Source organism: Homo sapiens, chromosome 17, assembly GCF_000001405.40.
Source record: "Homo sapiens chromosome 17, GRCh38.p14 Primary Assembly".
Taxonomy (NCBI): domain Eukaryota; kingdom Metazoa; phylum Chordata; class Mammalia; order Primates; family Hominidae; genus Homo; species Homo sapiens.
In genome coordinates, this window is record NC_000017.11 from 52,875,282 (window position 1) to 52,902,410 (window position 27,129).

Genomic DNA, 27,129 nt, shown 5'->3' on the forward strand with positions numbered 1-27,129 from the left:
AGAGATTCTCTTTAGGGTCTTCATTGAAGAAGGGGCAAGAAGAGAACAGAAAGGAATATTATTACGTATTCTACTGCAGCAGACCCAGATAAATGAACTGCAGCTGCACACCTGAGACAACAGTGCCCTAGATTTAGTGATTTAGCACAAAACAGAACAACTAGTCAAGAAAATGATGTGGTTGGAGTATGTGATGAGACAGTAATAAGAGGAATTTTAGCTGTCATGACCCTTTTACTACCTAAAAGCTATGATTCCTTCCCCAAATGCTATGCCAGTAATCTATACAAAACCAAGGTAGAGAATAATGCTTAAACTTCTCAAATGTGACACAGAGTATTTCCAACTCTACAGTGGTCTTAACGCCTTTCTATTTTGGATTTTCAAATCTAGAATTAAGATTTAACAAGAGACCATGGCCAACCATGAAGAATCTTTGTATACCCTCTTGTTTTGTTAATTTGAAAAACAATATCTATATAATGTAATTTAAAGACATTGCTAGTGTGCTACTTAGGAACAGATTTGTAAGTCCCCTCACACATAGTGGAGAAAGCTGTTTCCATTGACAAGGGGGGCTCAATGGGTTGAGAATCTCTGCTTTGCCTGCGTCCAACCAGACGACTCTATTTCAAGTTTCAAGGTCTCCCTCCTTCCTGATCAACGGTGTAACTTTAACATGAGTGAGTTGGTGAGCCTGAGAATTCAATGGATAATAAATAAGCATGAAATTCATTCATAATTACCAAAAACACATATGTGCAATACAAGTGCAATACTATCGCTAAATCTCAAGTGTATTATGCTACAAAAAAGCCAAACTCAAAATGCAATCTAATATATGACCCTATTTATATCATGTTTTGGAAATGACAAAACTATAGAGGCAGAAAATAGATCAGTTGTTGCAGGGGCAGGAGGTGGGAGCAAGAGTATGATCTTACAAAGGTCACAGGTAAATTTTGTGGGGAGTAATACTACTCTGTATCTTGACTGTACTGGTGAAAGGACTATATGTGTTTATCAAAACTCACAGAACTGAACACTAAAAGAGTGGACTCTACTGTACATAAATGTTACCTTCATTTAAAAATTTTTCGTAACACAATACTGCTGCACAGCCACTGAGATGGCTGAAATTAAAATGAACACCAGTGCTAAGTGTTACTGAACATGTGGAACAAGTAGAAGTCTTAGACATTTTTATTGGTAAAGTAAAATGACACAACTATATTGGAAAAACAGTTCAGCAGTTTCTCATAAAAAAGGCTGGGCGCTGTGGCTTAGGCTGGTAATCCCAGCACTTTGTGGGGCTGAGGTGGGCGGATCACGAGGTCAATAGAGATCGAGACCATCCTGGCCAGCATGCTGAAATCCTCTCTACTGAAAATACAAAAATTAGCTGGGCAAGGTGTCGCATGCCTATAGTCCCAGCTACTTGGGAGGCTGAGGCAGAAGAATCACTTGAACCCAGGAGGCAGAGGTTGCAGTGAGCTGAGATTGTGCCACTGCACTCCATCCTGGCGACGACAGAGCAAGACTCTGTCTCAAAAAAAAAAAAAAAAAAAGTTAAAGATGGTTACCATATAGCCCAGAATTTTCAATCCTAGGTATTTTTATCCAAGATAAATGAAAGCATATGTATATATATATATAAGACTTGAATAACAAGCTTCATAGAAGCTTTATTATAGCCCCAAAGTGGAAACAATGCAAATGCCTATCAATGGGTGAATGGATAATCAAATTGAAATACAGTTATTAAATGCAATACTGATGAGGAATATAAACTAAAAACTACTGATAACGACCGCATGGATGACTCTCAAAACATTATACTGAGCAAAATAAGTTAGCCACCAAAGTGTTGTGCACTTTTTATTTGAAATTGTATCTCTATTTATTTGAAACTCTAGGTAAGGCGAATTTAAATTATAATTATAAAAACATACATTGGTATTGAATAGTCTGGGGGAACTGAATACAAAATGGAAGAAGAAAACTTGTTGGATTACGGAATACCCTATATCTTGATTCTGGTGTTGGTTGCATGGTTAAATACATTTGCAAAACTCATTTAACCATACCATTAAAATACATTAAAATAGTTTTAGTTTATTACATACAACTTACACCTCAATGAGACTGATCTAGAAAATATACCTTGTACATAGTGTGAGTATTCCGATAGTAAGTATTGTAAATATTGCTTATTGTTTGGTGTTGTAGCTGGGGTCTTATTGGAAGTAAACACACCATAGTTCCGAAAAAAATCACTTAAACAGCACTGGAATTTGGAATTTTAAAGTGTGGAAAAAAATCTACTGAAACATATTCCACATGAAAAATCATGATACACTGTGGAAATACTTCAAGAGACAGACTCAACAGATGACACAATGAAGAGTATTATTGTTCCCAAGCAGTTGAGATAGATAATACATATAAAAGAAATCACTAATAAAATAAGTAAACAGATAAACTGCAAAACATCAAGACCCAAGACTATGAACAAAAATAGGCTTATTTAGAAAAAGAAATGTCAGTATGTATATATAGTCACTTAAATACATTTAAATAAAAATTAGAAGAGTATAAACAAGCAGTTAGGTATTAAGAAAATCAGTGGTTTGAAAGATATAAAAAGGGATTGTTCAATATTTAGCATAGAGAAACTAAGCATGAATACAATCATGGAGGAAGGAATAATATTTTTCAACATGTGTGTAATAGAAATTACCCCACTAAAAAAGAAAATACAGCATAAGTAATAAAGCAAACATTACTAGATCGTGTTCTATAATTGAAGAATGAATGTAGTCATAATAGAGTCAGAAAGACTATATTAACATCAGAAAAGTATTCAAGATGAGTATATTACTAAACAGAAAGAAGGCATTTTCCAAATGGTAAATGGTCTATTAAGAAGAAATAATAATCTGAAGTGTGTATGCACCTAAAAGGCTTCTAATGCATTTTTTTCTCTGAACAAAAAAAAAGGCGAATCTGTTCGAACATTAAAAAATATCACTCAATAGTTGCTAAAGCATGTAGAGAAAAAGGTCCATGTGACTTGAACATCACTGGCAAAGTAATCTATTAAGCATTTTCCTAAACACTTTACACTAAAACCAGAAAATATTTTGAACTAAATGGATGTTAAAGCACAGCATGCTAGAAAGTGTGAAGTACAGTTAAAGTGGTGCCTTGAGAGAAATTTATTGCTTTAAGTACCTATGTTAGAAAAGAAAAAAAATATATATTTTTACATTTTAAAAAACCAGAAAAAAAAGAGAAAAATCCTAAGTAAGTAGAGGACAGGAAAAACTAATAGAAGAAATCAATAATATAAAAATAGCACATAATCACATTTTTTGAAATTCATACATTTGTCCATAGGAAGGATCAGTAAAATTGATAAAAATTTAGTGGTTCATTTACTATGCTGTGTAGAACTTGCCTCAAAATTTACAATGGTGAAATTACCATTAATTTAGTTACTGATTCTGTGTGTAAGGAATTCGGACCAAAGATGGTGGGAAAGTTGTTTTCTTCCCAACTGGCAGTTGTTGGAAGAACTGAAAAGCTGGGAGCTGGAGTCATCTGAACGATTTTTTACTCATGTGTCTAGAGGTTGATGCTGGGAAGACCCTAACCGTTGGAAGTTGGAGCAACTGATGCATCTAAATTCATAAAATTAAGTCTGAAAAAGTTAATGTTCAGGAGTCTTACTTTGAACTTCAGAATATGTGCCTGCCTTAGAAGACCAGGCTATTCTGGGTTTCATGTAAAACAGAAGTGGAAGATAAATCTAAGGGAAAAATTATTGCTACACAAATAGTAAGGCAGCTGAACCAACTGGTCAGGGAAGCTGTTAAATGACAATCAGCCGTTATTCAGCTGAGATTCAGCTGAGCTCTAAGGGGAATAATATACAGGTAACAAATCTAATCCTTGTTTTCTAAAATGTTTATGGATAAGTTGATTCTTCTAGAGGCTTCTAAAGAGAAAACTTGAAGAAAAGTCATTTTGCTACTGTACATAGTACACTCACTCACAAATAATACATTTTCTTTGGGGAAGCTGGTGAAAAATTCTGGACATGAGCTTATATTCCTACCTTGTAACTTTGATAAAGAAAACTGGAAATTGCAAAGAGAATCTATTTTAGAATTTTATACAGGAGAGTTAGAGAAAAAAGAAATGGGGGAAATTCAAGAGAACAAAGGAAAAACAAAAGAGAGAAGACTACAGAGATGGTGAAAAAATAATAAGAGAAAGAATAAACATTTAATTTTAATTTAGAGAGAGACTGCTGATTTTTAAAAATATCACGCATTTGACAGCTAACAATATGACTATATGTTTAATTTTATTACCTAGTTAAAAAAAGAAAAAATATTGTTAACATATTCAAGTTTCTTAATAGTATGAAGATAAAATAAAGCAAAGTTTTTATTTTCAAGTTTTTATTCTTCTGGTAAGTGAGTTTCACAAAACTAATACTGAAATTTGCTCAGCTAATTCTCCAGAATAAATGTACAGACACTTTATTTGTTGATGTTATCTTTAAATTATTTGAAATAAAGTGTGAAGTCAATAATCAGAATTTTTATAGTCTACTTTAGCTAGCTAATTAATTAGCAAATGCAGTATATGATATTCCTAAATTTGAGGCTAGTTATAGCTACCACAGAATTTCGTTCTCTTTATTATTCAGTTTTTAATTCATGCATTCATTTATTCTATAAATATTTTTACCAGGTGCCAGGCACTGTTCTAAGGAAGGAACATAAAGGAAACAAAAAATTAAAAAAAAATAGTAAAGTTGTATTTACTATTAGTAAATCTAGTCAATAAAAATAGAAATTTCTGACTTCATGCATTTCACATTTTAGTATGATGTAACTAATTTTCATTAGAACTCTAAGGAGTTGCTTTGGTTTAAGGTTTAAAAAACAAATTTAAGTCAATACTCCTAACACTAAAACTGTAAACTATAGAGTATCGACTAATATTTGAGTTAGTCCCTCCAATTTAGAAACACCACTTGTTTCCAGTCATGAGTTGATATCACCCCTTCTGTTAGTTTCCACCTAATATTATGTAGGTTAGTTTGTAAGACTTGTTTAAACACAAGTGTTTATAACACTTGGAGTATTTAGGAGTTTTTTATATTTTCTAAAAATGTTTCACTTGATTTGAATTAATAGCCATGCTTTCTTTCCCCTTATGGATTCAGCACTTTGTTGTTTGGAAGCAAATGGGCTTTGAATAATTGCCAATAAGAAAAGGGCTTGCTATATTCCAGAAATTGGTAATGTTATGACTCCAAAAGCACAGGCAACAAAAGCAAAATTAGACAATGAATTATATCAAACTAGAAAGCTTTTGTACCGTAAAGGAAATAATAGTGTGAAGAGGCAACATATAGATTGGAGAAAATATTTGCAAAACATACACCAGAAAAGGAGCTAATATCTAAAATATACAAGAGTCACATACTACTCAATAAGAAGAAAACAAGTAATCCTATTTAAAAAATGGACAAAGTACTTGAATAGACATTTCTCAGAAGAACACATATGACCAATAGATATATGAAAAAAATGCTCAACATCTCTAATAATTAGAGAAATGCAAATTAAAATCACAATGAGATATCACCTTACACTTGTTAGATTGGCTATTATCCAAAAGATGAAAGATAAGTATTGGTTATTGTATCTTACATAAATGTTGCCCAGTCTCAGATAAAATTTTCACCTGCCTTGTCTTCTCATTTGCATGTCTCTAGTTTAGGTGAATTTTGATAGCAATGTTGTGAGCAGGATTCAGGCTGGTAGTGGAGGGACTATTTTTTTTTTTTAAGAAGCAGAATGAAAGGGAAATAATTGCATCTCAGAGAAGCTTCTCAGTTAAAGCCAGCACCAGTGCTCTACATTTGGTACATTTAAAAGATAGCAGGGCTGGATCATTCTAGCTTTCACTAAATTATTTTCTTAAATCACAAAGTAACAGAAGAAACTCGTTCTCAATTTTTCTTTATGTTCTTGAAGTTTGACACTTCTCTATTTCTGCCTCTGAAACTATACTTTCTCCTATGAGAATCATAGCTTGCCTTCCTCAGGCAGTTTAGAGTTTCTCAAGATGTTTTAGGATCTTACAGCTTTCATGGTAATGGTTTTTGATTAAGCCATTTGACTAGTATATAGTTTGGAAATAAACGGGAAACATGGCTCAGCAAATGCTCCTTTCCCCGCTACATTTTTTTCTTGCTGCTTCTCCCCTATATTGAGAAAATTTGATTTCAAGAATCTAACAGAGATGCCTGGATTGTTTCTTTTCCTCTGTTCAATTCTTCACTTCCACAGAGTGCAAACATTTCTATTATTTTTATTCTCAAGACTTCCAGGCTTTCTCTGTTAAAATTGTGCTGCATCTAGTATTTCATCTCTAACTCACTCCTGGACATTTCTATTTGGATGTTCTTTAATTATATCATATTGTACATGTTAATATCCATGCTTAGCATTAACAGGGTGAAAGTAGCCTCCCCTTCCAACTTTACTATTTCTGTTAATGATACCGTTTTTCCCAGGTAACATGGTAATTATTATTATCTATATATGTAGCCACCACATTCTGTTAACTTAAAAAAATTCCCATTCATCTTTTATATTTCCACTACTGTGGGAAAATGCCTTATTACCTCAGTGAAACTGCTGGCATAGTTTCCTACTTGGATTCTCTGAACCTACCTTTGTTTAAACTTAACTTTCATATTGTCACTCATTTGTTCAAAAATACTTACTGGATTCCTATTACCAGCCACCCTGAGAATCAATTTGTCTGCTTGACTTGGCATATCTTTAGAATTCTAGCCACATGATATTGTTCAACTTGCTGCAAAATTTTCTCTCCAGTCAGAAACCTAGTTGCAGTTTACTTCCTCATACTGCATGGTTGCTTCTAACTCTCCGTCATCTTTCGTGTTGCTTGTATCTCTTCTACTACCATCTACTCTCCTCTACCTAACCAAATTTTGTTCATTGTTGATAAGCATAGAGGAATAATTAAAAGTTAGAATTAAAATTTAGATAGACATTAAACATGAGACATATAAGCCTTGTAAGTGTTCAATGTCTTGCTCAAATCAAAGTTACCCTTTGAAGAAATGGAAGAAATAAAACCAGAACCAAAGTTCCCTTTTGTGTAAGTTTCATAGATTACAATGTCCTGCCCAAGCGAATGCTTCCAAATTTCTCATGTTTCACTTGCCTGTTTCAACCTTCTATTTTCTTAAAGACTTTAGAAGCTTAGAGTCATCTAGTAGACAAATAATTTATGTTATAGCACGTATCCAAACTGCTATAATTATCATTATTATGAATAATTCAAGTTTAGGTTTACTTGTTGGAAGTTTTATATGTTTTGTTGAAATCCTCTAAGAGAAACTGGAATCCTCTGGCTCTTATCTTGCCATCAGTAGCTGCACAGTACAAATCCATTGTCTCATCAAGACCTCAACCCTTCACACATATGTATAAAATAATTGTTTCCTCTTTGTGAATCTCTTATCACTTTTTGCATGGATTCTCATACGATCTATTACGTATATGAGCCAGGACATTTTAAAATGCCAGCTATATTAACCCATTTTAAATAGCTTAAGAATAAAGATCATCCAACCGTTACCAATTGGAGGATATTACCTCTCAGAATTGGAAACAATTAGGTATTCCTATCCTAGTAAAACATCATGAAGTGGACCCTGAAAAAAATGAAAAGATCAAGATTTGTATCAATTATGCAAAGATAAATAACCTCTTTTTTTGATATCACCATCAATATCAAGTAAGTCCTTTTGTGTCCAGAATTGGTGGGTTCTTGGTCTCACTGACTTCAAGAATGAAGCCACGGACCCTCGCGGTGAGCGTTACAATTCTTAAAGGTGGCGTGTCGAGAGTTTGTTCCTTCTGATGATCGGATGTGTCCGGAGTTTCTTCCTTCTGGTGGAGTTCGTGGTCTCGCTGGCTCAGGAGTGAAGCTGCGGACCTTCGCGGTGAGTGTTTCAGCTCTTAAGGCGGCACATCTGGAGTTGTTCGTTCCTCCTGGTGGGTTCATGGTCTCGCTGGCTTCAGGAGTGAAGCTGCAGACCTTCCCCAGTGAGTGTTAACAGTTCATACAGGCAGTGTGGACCCAAAGAGTGAGCAGCAGCAAGAGTCATTGCAACGAGCAAAAGAACAAAGCTTCCACAGTGTGGAAGGGGACCCCAGCGGGTTGCCACTGCTGGCTGGGGCAGCCTGCTTTTATTCTCTTATCTGGCCCCACTCACATCCTGCTGATTGGCCCATTTTACAGAGAGCCAAGTGGTCTGTTTTGACAGGGTGCAGATTTGTGCATTTACGATCCCTGACCTAGACACAAAGGTTCTCCATGTCCCCGCTAGATTAGCTGGATACAGAGTGTTGATTGGTGCATTCACAAACCCTGAGCTAGACACGGTGCTGATTGGTGTGTTTACAAACCTTGAGCTAGATACAGAGTGCCAATTGGTGTATTTACAACCCCTTAGCTAGACATAAAGGTTCTCCAAGTCCTCACCATTCAGGAGCCCAGCTGGCTTCACCCAGTGGATGCCGCACCAGGGCCGCAGGTGGAGCTGCCTGCCAGTCCCGCGCTGTGCGGCTGCACTCCTCAGCCCTTGGGTGGTCGATGGGACTGGGCGCTGTGGAGCAGGGGGCGGCGCTTGTCAGGGAGGCTCCGGCGCACAGGAGCCCACGGGGGTCGGGGGAAGGCTCAGGCATGGCGGGCTGCAGGTCCCAAGCCTTGCCCCGCCGAGAGGCAGCTAAGGCCCTGCGAGAAATCGAGCGCAGCGCTGGTGGGCCGGCACCGCTGGGGGACCCAGCACACCCTCCGCAGCCGCTGGCCTGGGTGCTTAGCCCCTCAATGTCGGGGGCCGCTCCGAGTGCAGGGCCCGCCGAGCCCACACCCACCTGGAACTCGTGCTGGCCCACAACCACCGCAGGCAGCACTGGTTCCCGCCCGCGCCTCTCCTTCCACACCTCCCCGCAAGCTGAGGGAGCCGGCTCCAGCCTTGGCCAGCCCAGGAAGGCGCTCCCACAGTGCAGCGGCGGGCTGAAGGGCTCCTCAAGGGCCGCCAAAGTGGGAGCCCAGGCAGAAGAGGCGCCGAGAGCGAGCAAGGGCTGTGAGGGCTGCCAGCAAGCTGTCACTTCTCGCTTTCAATTAAGGAAAAAAAAGTGCTGAACTTGTGCCGGTTCAAGCTAGTTCAAGGCAAGTGAGCTTCTTTTCCATACCCCTTCTTATTCCTACCTTGTTTTCTCAAAATTCATCATGAAAGGATATAGGGAATGAGATCTTCCATGAAGAGCAGAACACCAGGTATATAAACAACTTATATTCCATATGCATGTTTTAAAACTATTCCCTCCTCTTATAGCTCTGTTATACAGACCTCTAGTTTTGACTCTTTTCTTCTTAGACAAAGATGCCTAGAACTACAATGAGCTTATTGCTTTCAATAATAAAGACCCCACATTCTTATTTCTACAGGCTAAAATTGTGTTAAATTTTTGAGGTGCCACATCATATTATCAACTTGTATTAAACTTATGGTTGCCTAAAAGTCCTGAATCTTTTCCACATACACTAATGTTGAGTATCATTTTCTTTTGAGCTTGATTAGAGCCCATTATTCAATACCATATATTATTATTTTTATCGTAACCCTTTCTTTTTTCATGTCAACATTCTCATTCAGCTTTTGAGTATATTAAAATCTTAAATATCCATATGTTCTAGTTGTTTATCCAGGTTATTGGTAAACTTGTTGGAATTTGAGAGGATCAAGGGAAAACCTCTGAAACACTGTTTTGAGTATCAATTTCCTTTTGCCTTTTAACTTTCAGTAAATTATTTTCACTGGGCACAAAAACACCTAACTGAACCATTAGCCACCCTTTCATTATTTATTACAAGGATTTCTTTTCAAATTTCAAAGATGCTGTGTCTCTTTTACTAGTATTTGTCAATTTACTAAATAATTTGAAAGAGAAATAAGTAATTATGGCAAAGCTTCATTTGGTAAACCAGCTCATAGTGGTGTTGGTTGATCAGTGCACCACACTGCACAGATTCTACTTTGTGATCTGATACGGGCTTTTGCTGTGATTCAGTGTTTGTCAATATTTACTGAACGTTGTTTTCTTCTTTTGGTTTGTATGTTATGAAATCTGCCTTGGCTTTTTTTCTGTCAATTCTCTGCGAGTCTTCTCAGTCAAAGCACTTGAATTTTAAATGTGGTCTAAATCCGATGATAGGAATCTACACTATTCATGATCAAGCACATTCAAAGACTGGGCAATAACTCATGAATTAGTGTCACATCAGATTTTCTCCTGTGGCACTCTGACGACTTTTGCCCCTCAGATATATAATAATGGCTTATAATATGTCTCTAATCATGCATTTGCCTTGCCAACCGGTTTAGTTCCAATATCTAAGTTGTGTATCTGTGTATATATATATGTGTGTGCGTGTGTGTGTGTGAGAGAGAGAGTATAATTAGTATAATTCCTTACCTTGGTAATCTACTTATAATAAGTGACACATTCCTCTTAGTTGGATATGATGTCTTAATCTCCTGAGTCTTTTGGGGGCTAAAATACTGCCTGAGTCACAATCCGATGACAAGAGCCTCATTTCCTGTGGATTAACTTTTCTGAGCCTTTCTACCTTCCAGCTGCCTGTCTCCCTGATTCCAGGCTTATCTATCCTAGAAGTCCTCATTATCATGCTCCCTGCACTTGCTGATTATGCCCCCTGACCTTCCCATATATCTCCTGCCTGGTTACACTGCCGTCTCTCACTTATCATCGTCATTGCCAGACGCCAAGTTTTGGTTCATTGGCTGGATGGGGGAGACCTGTCTTAGGAATTCAGGCTCCTTTGCTGATACTCTGTCACTGGCTTTGCTGCTGCTAGATTTCTTGGTTATTTGGAACATCCCAAGTCCAGTTAGGCCTGATGAGTCTTTGCTTGCCACAATCTCCTCACCAACACAAATAACCTATTACTGACAGCTAATTTCTTTGCTCCCGTATCTGGTTGCCAGTCTTCTTTCCTATTGAGTCTTTCTAGTTTCGACATCCCAGCACTTTGACTAATACCAAGCCAGTTATTATATCATCTCCCACATAGTGCTAAGAATTAAGTAGAGGGTCCATATATATAAATTGCTCTGTAAGATTCCTCTCATCTGCCATATTTGTGAAATCTCCCACCTCTGTTATCATAAAGGAGTTATTTTCATCTTTTTCATAGTCCACAGGGCAAGTCTGTTTTTTACCTGTTTGTCTCTTTTACTGGACTATGTGTTTTTCTGGGACAGAAGCCACATGGTTGTTTAGTCACATAAACATTTATTCAGCATTTAATATTTGCCAGGCACCATGTTTGGCAGCACAGGTAAAGAAAAATATATACAAACATACACAATTGTGTGGCTTTAGTAACTCTGGGTCACTGGATTTTATTGCTAGTATAAGTAGTTTAGTTTAAGTATTCCACAAAAGTTTTCTGAATGAATGAATGTGTTTGCTAAATAATTGAAAATAGATTTTTAAATCTAGTTCCTGAAAAAATTATGTGCTCTAGTGCATGCTCCCTAAGAAGTAAATGACACTTATTGAGCAAAAATAAAAACGTAAAATAACCGTTGAAGTTGTATTAGATGCTAGACCTCAGAGGTTTACCATAAATAAGATAAAGCTGTATGCCAAAGGCTAGCGTCTTTTTTCTATAAAAGACCAGATAATAAATGTTTTCAGATTTGTGGTCCATACAGTTCTGCCACATCTACTCAACTCTAGTATGGTAGCTCAAAAACAGCCACAGATACCTAAATAAATGGGGATAACTCTGTTCCAATACAATTTTATTTATGGATTCTGAAATTGGAATATATAAAATGTTAATGTGTCATGAAATATGATTGTGTTTCTTAATTTTTTCTGAATTATTTAGAAGTCGTTTATGGTTTATAAGACTTACAGAACGAGGTAATGAGTAAAATTTAGCCAGTGGGCCCCCATCTACTGACCCTCGATCTAAGCTTTTCTTCTTCTTTTTTTTTTTTCAAGAACCCTCATTTTAAGATTAAACTTCAGTTTCTTGATATAAACTTTTAAAATTTTTGTAAACAAAAATAGATTAGGTCCAGTTTTAGATGTTCAATATTGAAAACAAGAAGGAGGCTGGGCTCGGTGGCTCATGCCTGTAATCCCAGCACTTCGGGAGGCCAAGGTGGTCAGATCACCTGAGGTCAGGAGTTCAAGACCAGCCTGGCCAACATGGCGAAACTCTGTCTCTACTAAAAATACAAAAAAATTAGCTGAGTGTGGTGGCAGGCATCTGTAATCCCAGCTACTCGGGAGGCTGAGGCAGGAGAGAATCACTTGAACCTGGGAGGCGGAGGTTGCAGTGAGCCGAGATAGCTTCATTGCACTCCAGCCTGAGCAACAAGAGCAAAACTCTGTCAGAAAAAAGAAAAAAATAAAGAAAAAAAAGGAGTGGTGGCATTGTCAAATACTCTGGACAAAGCAAAATGTCATGGCATAATGCAAGAACATGGATAATCGTTTGTTGGCTGAAGGCAAGGGCTTATAGTGGCTTATTCTCTAGATTATTTTCAGTCTTCAGATTTAGCAATTCCCTTCATGGAATTTTGGTAGAGAGGAATTAATAAGGTTCAATAAAATTATCTTTTTGTGAGTAGGTTTAAAATAACTCTTGAGTATTGCTTGCATTAAAAGCAAATAAACAACAACTTATCCTTGTTAAAATCATACATAACAGTAGAGTTGAGGCAGGGATGTTTGATCTTGGAAGCCTGGATAAGCCTTTGCCTTAATTTTGTCTAATCTATGCTAGCATTATAACACTGTTATTTTTCAGCCTGTATTTCTGCCTGTTGGTCAGTTGAACCAATTGAACCATGTTTGTGTCTGAAAGTTAAACAGAATGACTCCAGTCCCAATATCCTCTTCAGAGATGTCCTCTTTTCATTATTTCTACTAATTTCATCTCCAGATTGATTGCAAACAGTAGGTTTCTAAGGTTTCTAAGAAAGAGTAGGTTTCTAAGAAACAGTAGGTTTCTAAGACTAAATTCATCTCCAGGTTGATTTTAAACAGTAGGTTTCCTGCAAATGATTTTAAAGGCCATACAATTCTGAGAAGCAGCTGGTGTCTAGATCATTTATTTTTCTCCCTCTTTGTCCGTGAATCTCTCTCCTTTCTCTATTGATCATGAAGGTTTTCTCTTCAAGTAACTTCTAGAATTCTCTCTCTTTCCAATAAGAAGGTGAGGAAGTGATATTAAAAAGAAAAGACTGTTACTGAACCAAATGAAAGGCTATATAAACATTTCATGTAAAGGGTCAGAGAAAAAATATTTTAGGCTAGGTAGGCATATGGTGTCTGTTGCAGCTACTCAACTGCATTATAGAATGAAAGAAGCTGTAGACAATTAAAAAAAAATGAGCTGTGTGTGTCCCAATATATTTATAAAACAAGGCATCAGGAAGGATTTGACCAGTAGGGAATAATTTGCCCACCCTGAACTAAAGTGTACGTTGTATTAGTTGTGCCTATTGAGTAATTAATATTATTTATTCTTAAAGTAGAAATATGATATTGTGTGTCTTAAGACAAAACAAAAACAAAGCATATTAAATTATAATTATAGACTATTTGCAATGGGGAAAAAGTCTTTCAAAAATTACATACATATTAACATATACAGTTTATATATTTATATTAATAATAATATAAAGGTTTAATATAACCTTTGTATTAAATTAGAAAATGTTCCTTTAAGCACCTGCATCTCACACTTGGTTTACAGAACCTGTTTAAGCAGCAGATATTTCTGTACATGTTTCTTTGTAGAAGAGTTAGGAATGAACTGTGGCTTTAACCATTTGCATGAGCTGAACACAGGATGAATCTCAGTATCTCATTTGCAATATTCACGGACTTGTTTGCTTTGTCTGGTGCCATAGAGTTTATACCTTGTCACACACTGGCTGAATCATAGTGTATCGTCCGTCTTTCCAGACTCTATTTCTGAGTTGATAAAGTCTGAGGTTCAATGGCAGATTTACACATGCTGTTTGCCCACCTGGTCCTTATTCAAAACCACTACTTCCTCACAGTGAACACTTGATAGCAATGTCTATATTCATTCTCTTCTGGACAGATCCCTTGACGCTATCTTTCTAATGTCTATAAATGATTCTTTGGTATAATGGCAGTGGAAACGTAAAGCAATTTTTATGTAGTAATTAGCTGCTTTGCAATCCAAAGAAGTTCTATATAACGTGAATACTATGTATGTCTCTAGCCTAGGCTAGTACAGATATTTGTTGAGTCCCTACTATATATCAATTTCTATATCTAGATATTTCCATGTATTTTCATTTAATCATCACAAACAACCTGTGTGATGTTAAACCCAACTAAAAGTGAAAAATAGAATTATAGAGAGTGTAATAAAGTTTCCCAAGGTTTCACGTGTAGCAAATGGTCAACACTATATCATAGTGGTGATAAGCCCAATTTCTATAGTAGACTGAGAAACACTAGAATCCTAGTGCTAACTGCACTGTTACTAGGTGGTGTGACCTTGGCAAGTTATTTACCTCTCAAAGCCTGATTCTTCAGGTCAAAAGCAGAGGGATGTTGATTTGTAAACCAGATGAGATGTTGCATGTAAAACACTTAAGGTTTCTAGCTCTAGACAATATACTCAATACATGTTGTTGGCTCTTATCAAAATCACAGATCCAAAATGAGAATCCTCTTTCTCATGGCTTGATAGGCTGATCTTTCAACGACACAAAGGTTAGTACTCTTTCCATTCACATTCACACAATCTGTGTATCATAATTGAAATGAAACCTGAGAAATCCTTTAGGTTAGGGTCCAATTTCAAATTCTGGTAGGGTCAGGCAGATAGCATAATTGGCTTAAGTTGGGTGGGAGTAGAAAGTGCATTGCATATGTTTTGTGAGTGATGGAAACTGGAGTGCAGACTCCCTATCTTAGAAAAGGGAGCAGCTACTTAGTTCCAACAAATTGTTGGTTAATAGAAATGCAGACCTGAATTTGTTAGTTCATTCCATTTTTTCAAGACCAGGCAGATATTCACATTTTCATGTGAAATGTGCCAATTTTAAGTTGCTTGCTTTTAAAACTTTAAAAACAGATAGACATAACAAACATATATCCCAACTGGATTTGGTGCTTGGACCATTCACCTGTGATCTTTGCTAGATTAACCTTGATGTTTGACCAATGACAAAACACATTAAGAGAGGTAGGTGACTTGTCAATATCACATTGGATATCAGTTGAACCCCAGGGTCAGCCAGTGAGGAATATGGTGGAATTAGGACTAAAAGCCAGGCCTCTTTTTACTCCCACACACTATTACTATTAATAATTTTATATTTGAACAATTTCATTTAGATAATTCCATCCCAGATCACTCCAAAGGCTCTTTAACTGGAAGATGTTTCTTTCTAATATTAGTGTAAAGGAGTATTCTAGAAATAACTGCTAGTTTTTCCAGGTTTGATTGTTTTACCCTAGAATTTCCACTTAAAATATTACAAGAATTTATGACTTTAATGTCAATATCTTTCTTTATAAATTTAGAAATTCCATGTTTCTACAAAATAAATCATGACTTTTTTTCTATTCAAAAGATAGTTTCAAGTGAAATAATGAGGATTATACTTTCAATATTGCCATAACATTGCAATTCTCTAAAATGAGAGCATTAGGATAAATACCTAATGCATGCAGAGCTTAAAATCTAGATGACGGGTTGATAGGTGGAGCAAAACGTCATGGCGCATGTATACCTACGTAACAAACCTGCACGTTCTGCACATGTATCCCAGAACTTAAAGTCAAATTTAAAAAAAAATGCCTGCGTTGAATTGAACATTTGTTTAAAAGAAGGGGAAATGCAATATACAGGTATGTATGAGGCTCACATGACAACCCCAGTCAGGCACGTTGCTAAGCACTTTATAAGCGCTGTCATATATTATTCTCTTAAAAGATCTATGGAGGTCTCTTTTATTATTTTAACAGTTCTTTTAATAATTATCTAGATTCATAATTATGTATAAGGAATTAAGTCTATGCAGTCATGCCACCTGGCAAATATTCCACAGTTAATAAGTAATGCAGACAAAAGTAAAACTCAAGTGTATTGGTTATTAAGCCTTGAAGTAATAAACTTGTTCAGAAAAATTTTTGGAACTCTGGAGGAAGCCACATCATGATATAAACTTAAGATAATGAAACATCTCTAACAGGCCTGCCCAAAAGATTATGTCATATAAACATAATACCTTTGTTAATACGTCTGTTAAGAACATTTATGCCTTAGGGCTTTGGTACTGACTGTTCTCTCTGTTTAAAAGACTCTTCTCCCAGCACTTCAAGTGGCTGACAGTCTCGCATCAGTAACACTTTCTCAAAGTAACTCTCAACCGGTTAACTAGAAGCAGAGACCAAAACTATGTTTTATTATATCATCCAGCTTTATTCATTTACAGTCCTTATTATCTGAATATATTTTTTATGTATTTAGGTAGCTATATCTCTACATAGCTATCTTCACTCAAACCCAAGGTCCATGAAGACAATGGATTTTCTATATTGCTCACCACTGTATCCTCAAGCCTAGAACCCTACATGGCACATAATAATCCCTCAATAAATATTTGCTAAATAGATGAATGAATTAACTTTGTGTTACTCTTAGCCATTTGTTTTGGTCATAAATATGATACTGTGTTTGAAAACACAGGCTATCAAAGTACAGAGGGTATTGCATTATGTTCAATGCAGAATCAGGAACTCTCCTGTTAATAGGGAAATGTTACTTGAATCCCGATTATAAAGCATAACAAAGCAAGCAAATAAATTCACACACACACACATACACACACACAACAATTTTAAAAGTCATTTTGGGGACAGTCCAGGATATTTAATATGTACTCTATGGTACATGGTGATATGTTAAATTCATTTTCTTACTGTGATAATGGTATTCTGGTTCTACAGGAGAATGACTTTGGCTTTAGAATGTGATGCTGAATTATCCAAGGATGAAGTGTCAAACTATCTAAAATTTACTTTTAAATGACTCAGCAAAAGCAAAACTATGTAAACTGTATATAAATCATATATTTATATCTAAATCTGTGTGTGTGTGTGGAGGGAGAGAGAGAATACGAATGTAATAAAACATTAATTATTAGTGAATATAGGTGAAATGCCCATGTTACAAGTCTTCATTTTACAATTATTTTAGCTTTTCAGTAGGTTTGAACATCCATAAACTAAAATTTGCAAGGAAATTAAGAAAATATTTCTGATATGACATAACTGTTTAATATTTCCTTGAAATTTATTCTTCAATTTCTGTATTTACATATCTGTTTAGTGACATCAAAATGCTTAAGATGACAAGATGGAAAAGAACAAAGTTTGTAAAAAGCTGCGTGTGACTCTCAATTAATAATCTACTTTAGTCTCTTTCTTTAAATTTTATAGATATACTTGAATTGTAAAAATTTCTCCCGTTTAGTCTAAGGGAGAAGAGGTTTGATCGACTTTATGAAAACTATTTATATCTGAGTTATCATAACACATAAACGAAGAGTGTCATCACCAAGGGCAGTTATTTACAGGAAAATAGATTTTACTAAAATAGATTTTCTATCTCCAAATTTATATACTGTACATACTCTAAAATAATTCAATGAACTTGGAAACTGGTAGACATATTAAATATAATAACTAAAGAACAATAAAATGAAAATTTTTCTCACCTTTCTGTTTTTATGAGCATCTTTCAACAATAGACACAATGCAATATTTGCCTCTGGGTCTCAATGTTCAAGTACATGGAAATAATTTTGAAGATTGCTAGCTTTGTATGCAGGTAGCTAATTATTGATTAGAACCTTTTCTCATTACAGGGAAAACTGATTATCTACTCTCATGGCTCAAGACAATAAAATAAAGGGACAGTTAATAATGTGTAGTCGTGCATTTCACGAAAAAAGTTACAGTTGGAACTGTGAAAAAGTGGATACGCTTATTTTACACCACCTAGTCATTTTTAACCAAGAAACAATTGGCACAAAAATGTGTTTTCAATACAAATGTTTGGATGGACCCACTAATCTTTCTTGTAAATATGTGATACTTTTTCACTAGTTGTTTCACAGTAGCAAACACTGGAAATAGGAGGCTTTACTACAAATGCTATTTTACTTTGTCAGTTTCAGTTGACTTATCCTATGAAAGATCCAAGACTAAAAATCATAGGATCCTATCTCAGTAATCAGGTCGACAAGATACAGGATTTTGTGCAGCATTTTATGATGAAGATTTAGAGAGATTTTTAATGAATTCTGGAGTAAAATCATTATGATGCTGTTTACAAATTAAAGTTAATAGTAACAAGGGAATAGATTGTTGAGGAAGCTATCTTACTAACAGTGTTCTTCTTGAGGGCACTTGGTAATTAACCAGAAATAAAATTTTTATCGTCACTTTTACTTTCCTTTGGACCATTTTGTCTCTATAAATATGTTATTCCTATGTGTCCTTGAGAATAAACATTTATCTCTGAACTCCTGCCTTCATATACAAACTTCTCTTTCTTTGTCTCAACTATTAGTATTCATTGCTGAAGTGTTATTCAGTCATACATTTAGGAGCCATTTATATTTATTCAGTAAGTTATATTTCAGTTTATAGTGGCTAATATGTATTTCAGTAAAGATTAATTCCATGCTTTGGGTATTACTTGTGGATAAAAATATCAACTAATTACAAAAATTAGCAGGGGTGGTGGCACATACTGTAGTCTCAGCTACTCAGGAGGCTGAGGCAGGAGGATCATTTTAACCCAGAGGTTGCAGTGAGCTGAGACTGTACCACTGCACTCCAGCCTGGATGACAGAGGTGGACCCTGTCTTGAAAAAAAATCAACTAATATTCATAAGACAAATTATTACATAACTTTATCCCAGTTGAGCCTCAAGATGATCTTGGGAAATATGTAGAGGCATACCTTAGAGATATTATGAGTTCTGTTCTGGACAACCACAGTATAGTAAATATCACAATAAAGTGAATCACATGAACTTTTTGGTTTCCTACTTCATCTAAATGTTATGTTGACACTATACTGTAGTGTGCTAAATGTACAATCACATTACATCTTAAAGCAATGTATGTACCTTAATTTAAAAATACTTTATTGCTGATAAATGTTAACAATCACCTGAACCTTCAGCAAGTTGTCATCTTTTGTAGTGGAGGATCTTGCCTCATTGTTGATAGGTGTGTGCTGATAAGGGTGGTGGTTGCTGAAGACTGTAGTAGCTGTGGCAATTTTTTTTCTTTTTTTGATGGAGTCTCACTCTGTCGCCAAGCTGGAGGGCAGTGGCACAATCTGGGCTCACTGCAACCTCCGCCTCCCGGTTCAAGCAATTCTCCTGCCTCAGCCTCCCGAGTAGCTGGGACCACAGGCACGTGACACCATGCCTGGCTCATTTTTTGTATTTTTAGTAGAGACGGGGTTTGACCATGTTGGCCAGGATGGTCTCGAACTCCAGACCTCGGGATCCGCCCGCCTCGGCCTTCCAAAGTGCTGGGATTTACAGGTGTGAGCCACTGCACCAGGCCGGCAATTTCGTAAAATAAGATAACAGTGAAGTTTGATGCACAGAATGATTCTTTCTTTCACAGAAGATTTCTCTGTAGCATCTGATGTTGTTTGATTGCATTTTACCCACAGTATTTCTTCTTGCAAAATTAATTAATCCTCACAAGCCCTGCCTCGGCTTTATCAAGTAAAGTTATGAAATATTTGGAATCATTTGTTTTTATTTCAACACTGTTCACAGCATCTTCACTAGGAGTAGTGGTACTACTCTTGCAATTTCCGCCACATCTGCAGTTACTTCCTTCACTGAAGTCTTGAAATGTTTCAAACCTTTCAAAATTGATTCCAGTCCTCATGGATGGAAACCTTTCATCCATGATGATTGCAATCAACTTCTTCCAAACGTCTGTTAATGTTGATATTTTGACATCCTTCCATGAAGCAAGAATGTTCTTAATGGCATCTAGAATGGCAATTTTCTTTCAGAAGGTTTTCAGTTTACTTTGCCTGAATCCATCACAGGATTAACTGTCTATGGCTGCTATAGCTTTATAATATATACTTATTAAATAATAAGACTTGAAAGTCACAATTTGTTTTTGATCCATGGGATGCAGAATGGATGTGTTAACAGGCATGAAAACCACATTAATCTCGTTACACATCTCCTTTGCAGGACAATCTGCATCAGAAAATTGGGCAACTCTGCAGAATTGTAGGGATTGAGACTTGGAAGCCTTGATGTTGCTTAATTGGAGAATAGAGGTGGAGTTACACTTCACTAGGGTCCACGTATGAGTATGTGGAAATAAAATCAAAGAAAATCACTGGCCTCTGCTTTTGAAAAACTGAAGAAGAAGAAAAAATAAAGTCAGGTTACTGAAAGTAACAGGTGAAAGCTAGAAAAATGTGGAAAATAGAGCTAAAGGTCTCCAAAAAAAATAAAGAAATGCAAAAAAAAAATGCAGGACATTGACAGAGTGGTCCATCTAAGTAGTCAATGCTAGATGTCACTTTGCTGAGTTACTCTGACAGCCGCTTGAGTTCACAGAGTAAACAGACAAAAGGGTGGTAGGAAACCAGGAAAACAAGGGCTCTGGTGTCATTAGCAAAGGAGGCTACGGTGCTCTTAAAATTTCCAGCACCAGACAGTGTCAAATATAAAATTATTAATGCTTAGGATGGAGGGAGAATTTAAAGGGTCCATAATAGTGCCAATATTTCCATAATTCTGTATAAATTTTACAGCAAGGAACAGCTTTGAGTACACCATGTCTGGATGTTTAGGAACCCCACTTGCTCATGGTCATTCCCATGTCTTCTCCTAAAGATGAATTATGGATCCTAGTTAGCACCCAGAGACTTAGCTGAGACCCTTCTGTGCTCTTCACTTACAATTTCCAGTCTCCTTTTATTATATTTCCACTAATGAAACATTTTTTAAATTTTCAAATCAATTATTAACCGATACTATGACAAAATGAAATAAAAAGAAATGAGAAGGAAAATGATTACACCCTTAGAAGTGATGATAGTGTCAGATTGCTATACAGGTTTCTATATGCTCTCTTAATTTATGTAATTATCTAGTCCCAGCTCTGTAACATTTGTGGGTCAGTGACAATTCAGGGATCACATTTGAACAATTACTAGATGACCTGGTGCCTCTCTTTATTGTAATACAATGTATGGATAGGACATAATTTTTACATATTTTAGTAAAGTTCTAGAGGTAAAATTTGAGGTCATAACTTTTTAGTGCAAATCTCATTGTTTTCAAAACTATTTGCAAGATATTGTTAAAGTGGCTTGGGGTGCCTTTGAATTAAAGTTTCCTTTTTCTAGGTGAAAAAAAAAAATAGCAAATGTTGGCGGTGGCATTGGCCTGCATCTTACTACTACTTTCTCAGTGCTCCTGGGCTTAGAAGGAGACGTTTGGAGGATAAAACATTGTTCTTCAGTTGTAAAACATTTGGAAGATAAAACTCTACAGTCTCTGTCTAGCTTCTGCATATCTTTGATCAATCAATTCAAAATATTATGAACTTATTTTTCCCTGAGCTGTTATCAAGACGAGTTTGCAACAGTGGGGACAAATTGAGAAATCTCCTTGAGAAAGATGCTATAAATTAAAATGTTCTGAGTTTTTCATCCTGCCTTTGCATAATTATCCATTGTCTGGGTTTCAGAAATTTTTGAAAATAAATAAATCTTGGCATGTCCCATAGATTGTATACTATGCAAGATTTCTAATCAACCTACTTTCATCTGTGTTACGTGTTGCCATTATGTAAATAATGAAGTTTCTTGGATTGCTTGCCTTTCCCCTTGTCCAAACACACACAGTCTTGGCAGAAATATAATAAGTTGCTAATAAGGATTTTAGGCCTATTTTTTGTATAAATATTTGAGATGCTACAATAAAATAATATTGATAGTGAATGCATATATAGCACTTACTATAGACCAGGATCTGTTCTAAATGTTTTATATGCAGTAACAAATTTAGCCTACTTAACAACCTAATGGAATTTTCACTGTTAGTCTCCCCATTGTTCATGCACTGCTATCATCTTCATTTTACCATGTTGTTAGGGTGAACCAATGTTGTTTTTGAAAATAGGTCAGGGCCTTCTCCTGAAGGTCCTATTCCCCTTGTTAAATCATTGCAAATGGAATATACCAAATTCAGTAAAGAAACTTGAGCAGCTCTGGTAAATTAAGTCAATTAAATTATTTTATCACATTCGTAGAGTATTGGGCATTCCCATTATTCCAGTTCACCAGGCAGAACTTTCAGAGGCCAAGACTTCCTTTTTCTTATTACATAGCTCACTTCCCATTAACCCTATTCAAAATCAATGATTTCTTGACATTAAAAAATATCTGCTCTTTTATCCAGATATTTGCAAATTTCTTGGTGTTTAAAAAATTAAACATCTGGGTGGTTGTCTTCTTTCATTTTAAACCCAGTGATGTTTTTCTGAAAACTCATGATTGTATTATCAAAATTGCAATTCTCACCTCTGCCACTTCTTAGCATGGTGTATGCTACCAGCTTGCTAGGTTAGCAGTAGGTTAGTATAATGAAGCTGGAGCCAGGATAATGACACAGTGAAGAAGTATGTTTCAGTGGTGAATTACATGAGCTACAATTTCTTCATTGCAGCATTCCCCCAAAGGCTTCTTTATTCTATTGCCATTGACCATCACGGTAACAGCTCATACCATGAAGTCTTTTATAGTGGCATTACCAGAAATGAAAGATGGAAATGTGAAGTTTGCCCACATTTTCTTTTTTTATTTTGTAATGAGTGTAAATTTAATAATTTTATATATTTTCTTGTTTTGGAAACCTGAGGTGGTCTAATACTCAACATTTGTCAGTGCCCACTGGAAACCATTCTGAGACTCCCTGCAGCTGAGGATCACAGGTACTACTTGGGTCCATAGTCCCTTACCCGATGTCAAAGATTAACAGTTATGCAATAAATAGAAGACAGTTGAATAAACTATTATCTATCTATCATCTTTCTACCTACTATCTATCATCTGTTATCTATTATCTTTCTACTATCTATTTTATCTATCTATCATCATCTATCTATATTTATCATTGAAAGCCTTCTAAGAAAAGCGCACTGTACCTTATAATTAAATGTCTCTGTTCTTGGCTAAGAAAACAGAAATTATAAGGTACCTAAAATAAAGGGGATAGAAGTATACTGTAGACCAGAACCTGTTAGAAACATCCAGTGACTTTATATTCCTGCTTGTAAAGCTGGATAGCTGGTAAACCTCCTTGTAGTATTGACTGTAGATACCCCTACTGTATCACTTGAACCTTATGCATACATAAACTCCCTGATGTAGACCTCATCTTTCTTCTACACAAATCAACTTGGATTCTTCCTTCAGCTCTTAGATTAGGACTTCTTGCCACTTGGAACCCACTACCCTTCCTGGCAATTTAACTGGTACCCTACCACATCAACCTTATTTTCTCTTCCTAAGGGGAAAATGAAGCATATAGGAGTCAATTACACTTTCAGGGTTTAAAAAAATCACTGACAGATTCTGTGTCTTTCTTTAGCTCCTTTATATTCCTCAGGCTTCAATGACTGTGTAGTTCATGGTTGAATCCAAGACTTCATTTCAAACTGCTTTTTAGAATGTTTCGGACAAAAAGTCTAAAAATAGTAAAATAAAGACCAGAAATGGGTCTATGTGCTCCTATCTATCTCTTTGTTCTTTTCAGCTTTTCATTGTAATGATGTGAATTATTGCTGAACTGATGACCTCAAACTCCTGCAAACAACTTGGATATCAGTGACCCCATGAGAATCTGTAATATCACTGGACATGAAAAGAAGCCTGGTCCCTTCTACAACCATGACATATATTTGTATTTATGGTCCTCTGGAGAATCTTGCCTTTTCCCACCAATTTTTATTTTACTCTATCTATAGTATTGTAATTTCAGAAGAAGAAAATAAACTACATTCCATTCATTGCCTGACATGAAACCATATTTTTATTACATCTGTCAAGTGACTCTAGATATCTAATCACAAAGTGAGATCTGAGTGTGCCTTTCATGAATACTAAAAAAAATTCACTGCATCTCATATATATATACCCCAGATTCTATTTGTTACTTCTTCCATACAATCTGGATTTTCTTAAATAATTTATATGTAAATGGTTTAGTAAATACAATTGCTATGAATTTTCTGGTGAAAAAGAGGCATTCAATCCAAAAATTATACGTACTTTGAAGTAAAATTTCCTAGCTGTGAATACCTGTGGTGACACCATCTACATTAACCCAGGTATGTTTCAATTATCTCATCTGCAATATTGGTATAGTAGTAGCACCAAACTTAAAAGGTTACAATGACAATTAAATAATTAGTATGTATAAAGTGAACACGCAGTGCCTGTCATATAGCATTTGCTATAGATATGATATCTATTATTACCATTTGGTAGGCATTCATTTATACTACATTTGGATCCAAGATGAAGATGTCAAACTAGATTAGCTGCTTGCATAAAATAGTGGAAACTCAAGAATGAACAAGTATCAAGATAAATCACTTCATTTAAACAAAGTGAGATTGGTAATCTTTTCATTCATTCATTTTATTCATTCCTTTTTTTACTCTGGAAAATATAGGGTAGTTAGATGAGAGATCATATTGATATTATAGTGTAGTGATAGAAAACAGAGCAAATGGATAAATAAATGCATTTGATTGTGATATATGGATGAAACTAGGTTGATATGATAGAGAATAACTAAACTGGAAGAAGGTTAAGCGTGTTCCATAGGAATTTGCATTTGAGCTGAAACCTAAAGGTAAATGGGTGAGCCATGCTAAGAGCTGGAGGCAGAGAACTCCATATAGATGGACCTTTGGCCTTTTGTAGAAATAGGAAGTATTATTTGGCTAAAGGACGGTAATCCAGAAAGAGAGTGGTGGGAATAGAATCGGGGAGGGGGACAGACGGTAGAACGGGTAAGGCATCATGTGCCAGAATAAGGCCCTCAGTTGTTTTTTTTTTTTTTTTTTTTTGCTGAGTACAGAAGAAACCAATAGGAAGATTTTATACAAGAAAGTGATATAGCTGGATTGACATACATTAAAATCTTTCTGTCTCATGAGGAAAATGGTTTGATGTGGGTGAGGTTCTTGACAAGAATGAAAGCAACAAACTGTTTAGGAAACAACTATCAAAGTCAAGGGCAGAATGTTCTAGTATGGTAGGGGTATAGCTAAAGAAAGTGGGCAGGTTTCTGTCATATTTCAGGAGACAAATTGATTGGAACAGCTTGTGAATTTGATATGGGTGAAGCAGGAAAGATGGTTTCAGTAACTACATAAATGGCTTACTGTATATTTTAAACTGCAAGATCTATGTGGGAAAGTAGCTGGCTAATATTAGGTCATTTATCTAATTCTCAGTCTTATCAGTTGATGATATAAACCCCTCTCACCTCTGGCTTTAGCCTTGTTTCAATCTCCGCTCACCTCCAAGCTGGATGGGGCTGGAAATAACCTTGGACAGACTCCACCCATTGCTCCTTGTGTAAATTCTGGCTTCTACCTGTTCACCAAAAATCATTTTCCCTTAACTTCTAACAGTAGATTACAGTACTGGATTTCATTTTCACTCATAGAATAGCAGTAGTAGTAGTATGTAGACTGTAGTACTAGATTTCATTTTTGCTCATAGCATAGCAGTCAAATTTTTTCTCCATCACCACCCAGGTTCATCTTCAGCCCAGGAATGAGTCTTTAAAGCAGTCTGTCTCAAACAATGTTTCCCATTTGGCGGTGCTGTATATCTTGAGCTATTTTGTTTTAGACCCCTCTACACCTGATTTTTCAGTCTACTCAAAGTACTCTTACCACTTGATTTGTCAGTTTACCAGAAGTTTGTACCTTGGTTTTATCCCATGATACTCTTCTCCCATTTCTTCTCTTAGCTTTGCCTATCAATTTTGACTCAAAACTTATCCCTTATTTTATAATTACTATTAACAGCTTTATGTAAATAGTCCTCCTGAGCCTGAGAAAGCTGTCTCTTCCAAAGAACTTAAATGCCACACTCTCACTGTTTGTCTTGTAGGTGCAATAGAGACATAAGAATCCCTGACTTGATTCTTAACCTATTAGATTTGTGCAAAACTAATTGTGGTTTTGCCATTACTTTTAATGACAAAAACCACAATTATTTGTGCACCAAACTAATACTTAAATAAAATTTGGAAACTAAAAGCTGCCTAGGTCTTGTCAATACTTGTGCAACACTTGTAACAAGCCTCATCTCAATAGTAACTTGTTTGCCAGGCTACTAACCAGAGCCGAAGAGGAGGAGCCAAGTGAACAAAGATATTGCCATTGTTTTTACTTCAGGGTCCATCTCTCTGGAAGCTACAACTTCATCCAGCCAACAATATTAAATACCAGTACTGGTTCCAGTAGAACTTAAGTTTTCCCTCTGGATATTTTAATTTGTGTTATTGGTCTGTGGCCATACCACCCTGGAAGTGCCTGATCTCGTCTTAATTTGTGTTATTGAATTTTTTTCTTCAGCACCAAGGCCTATATAGCTGATTTTCTCTAGCCTCAGTTCTGGATCTTTCCCATTTCCTTACTAGTCAGTCCCACTAAAAGTGTTGCATATCTTTTGGTTTACCTTGATGTGACCTTCTAAATGTTCATCTTACAGATGTACGAATGTTAAAATAGCTTTGTTGAAAATACCACGGAGTGCTGCATACACCAAAATCTATCATTACATAGAGTAAAGTAAAAGTCCCAGTAAAAT

The 27,129-nt window shown here is 36.0% G+C and overlaps 1 long non-coding RNA gene across 1 annotated transcript in view; it reads left to right on the forward strand.

Moving 5' to 3' along the window:
- The window catches only part of LINC02089 (long intergenic non-protein coding RNA 2089), a 37,468-nt gene extending 13,161 nt beyond the window's left edge, over positions 1–24,307 (forward strand). Inside the window, exons 2-3 of the long non-coding RNA NR_146899.1 lie at positions 23,153–23,225; positions 24,050–24,307. This is a non-coding gene — a long non-coding RNA (long intergenic non-protein coding RNA 2089). The remainder of the gene's footprint in view (positions 1–23,152; positions 23,226–24,049) is intronic.
- The last annotated feature ends 2,822 nt before the right edge of the window (positions 24,308–27,129 follow it).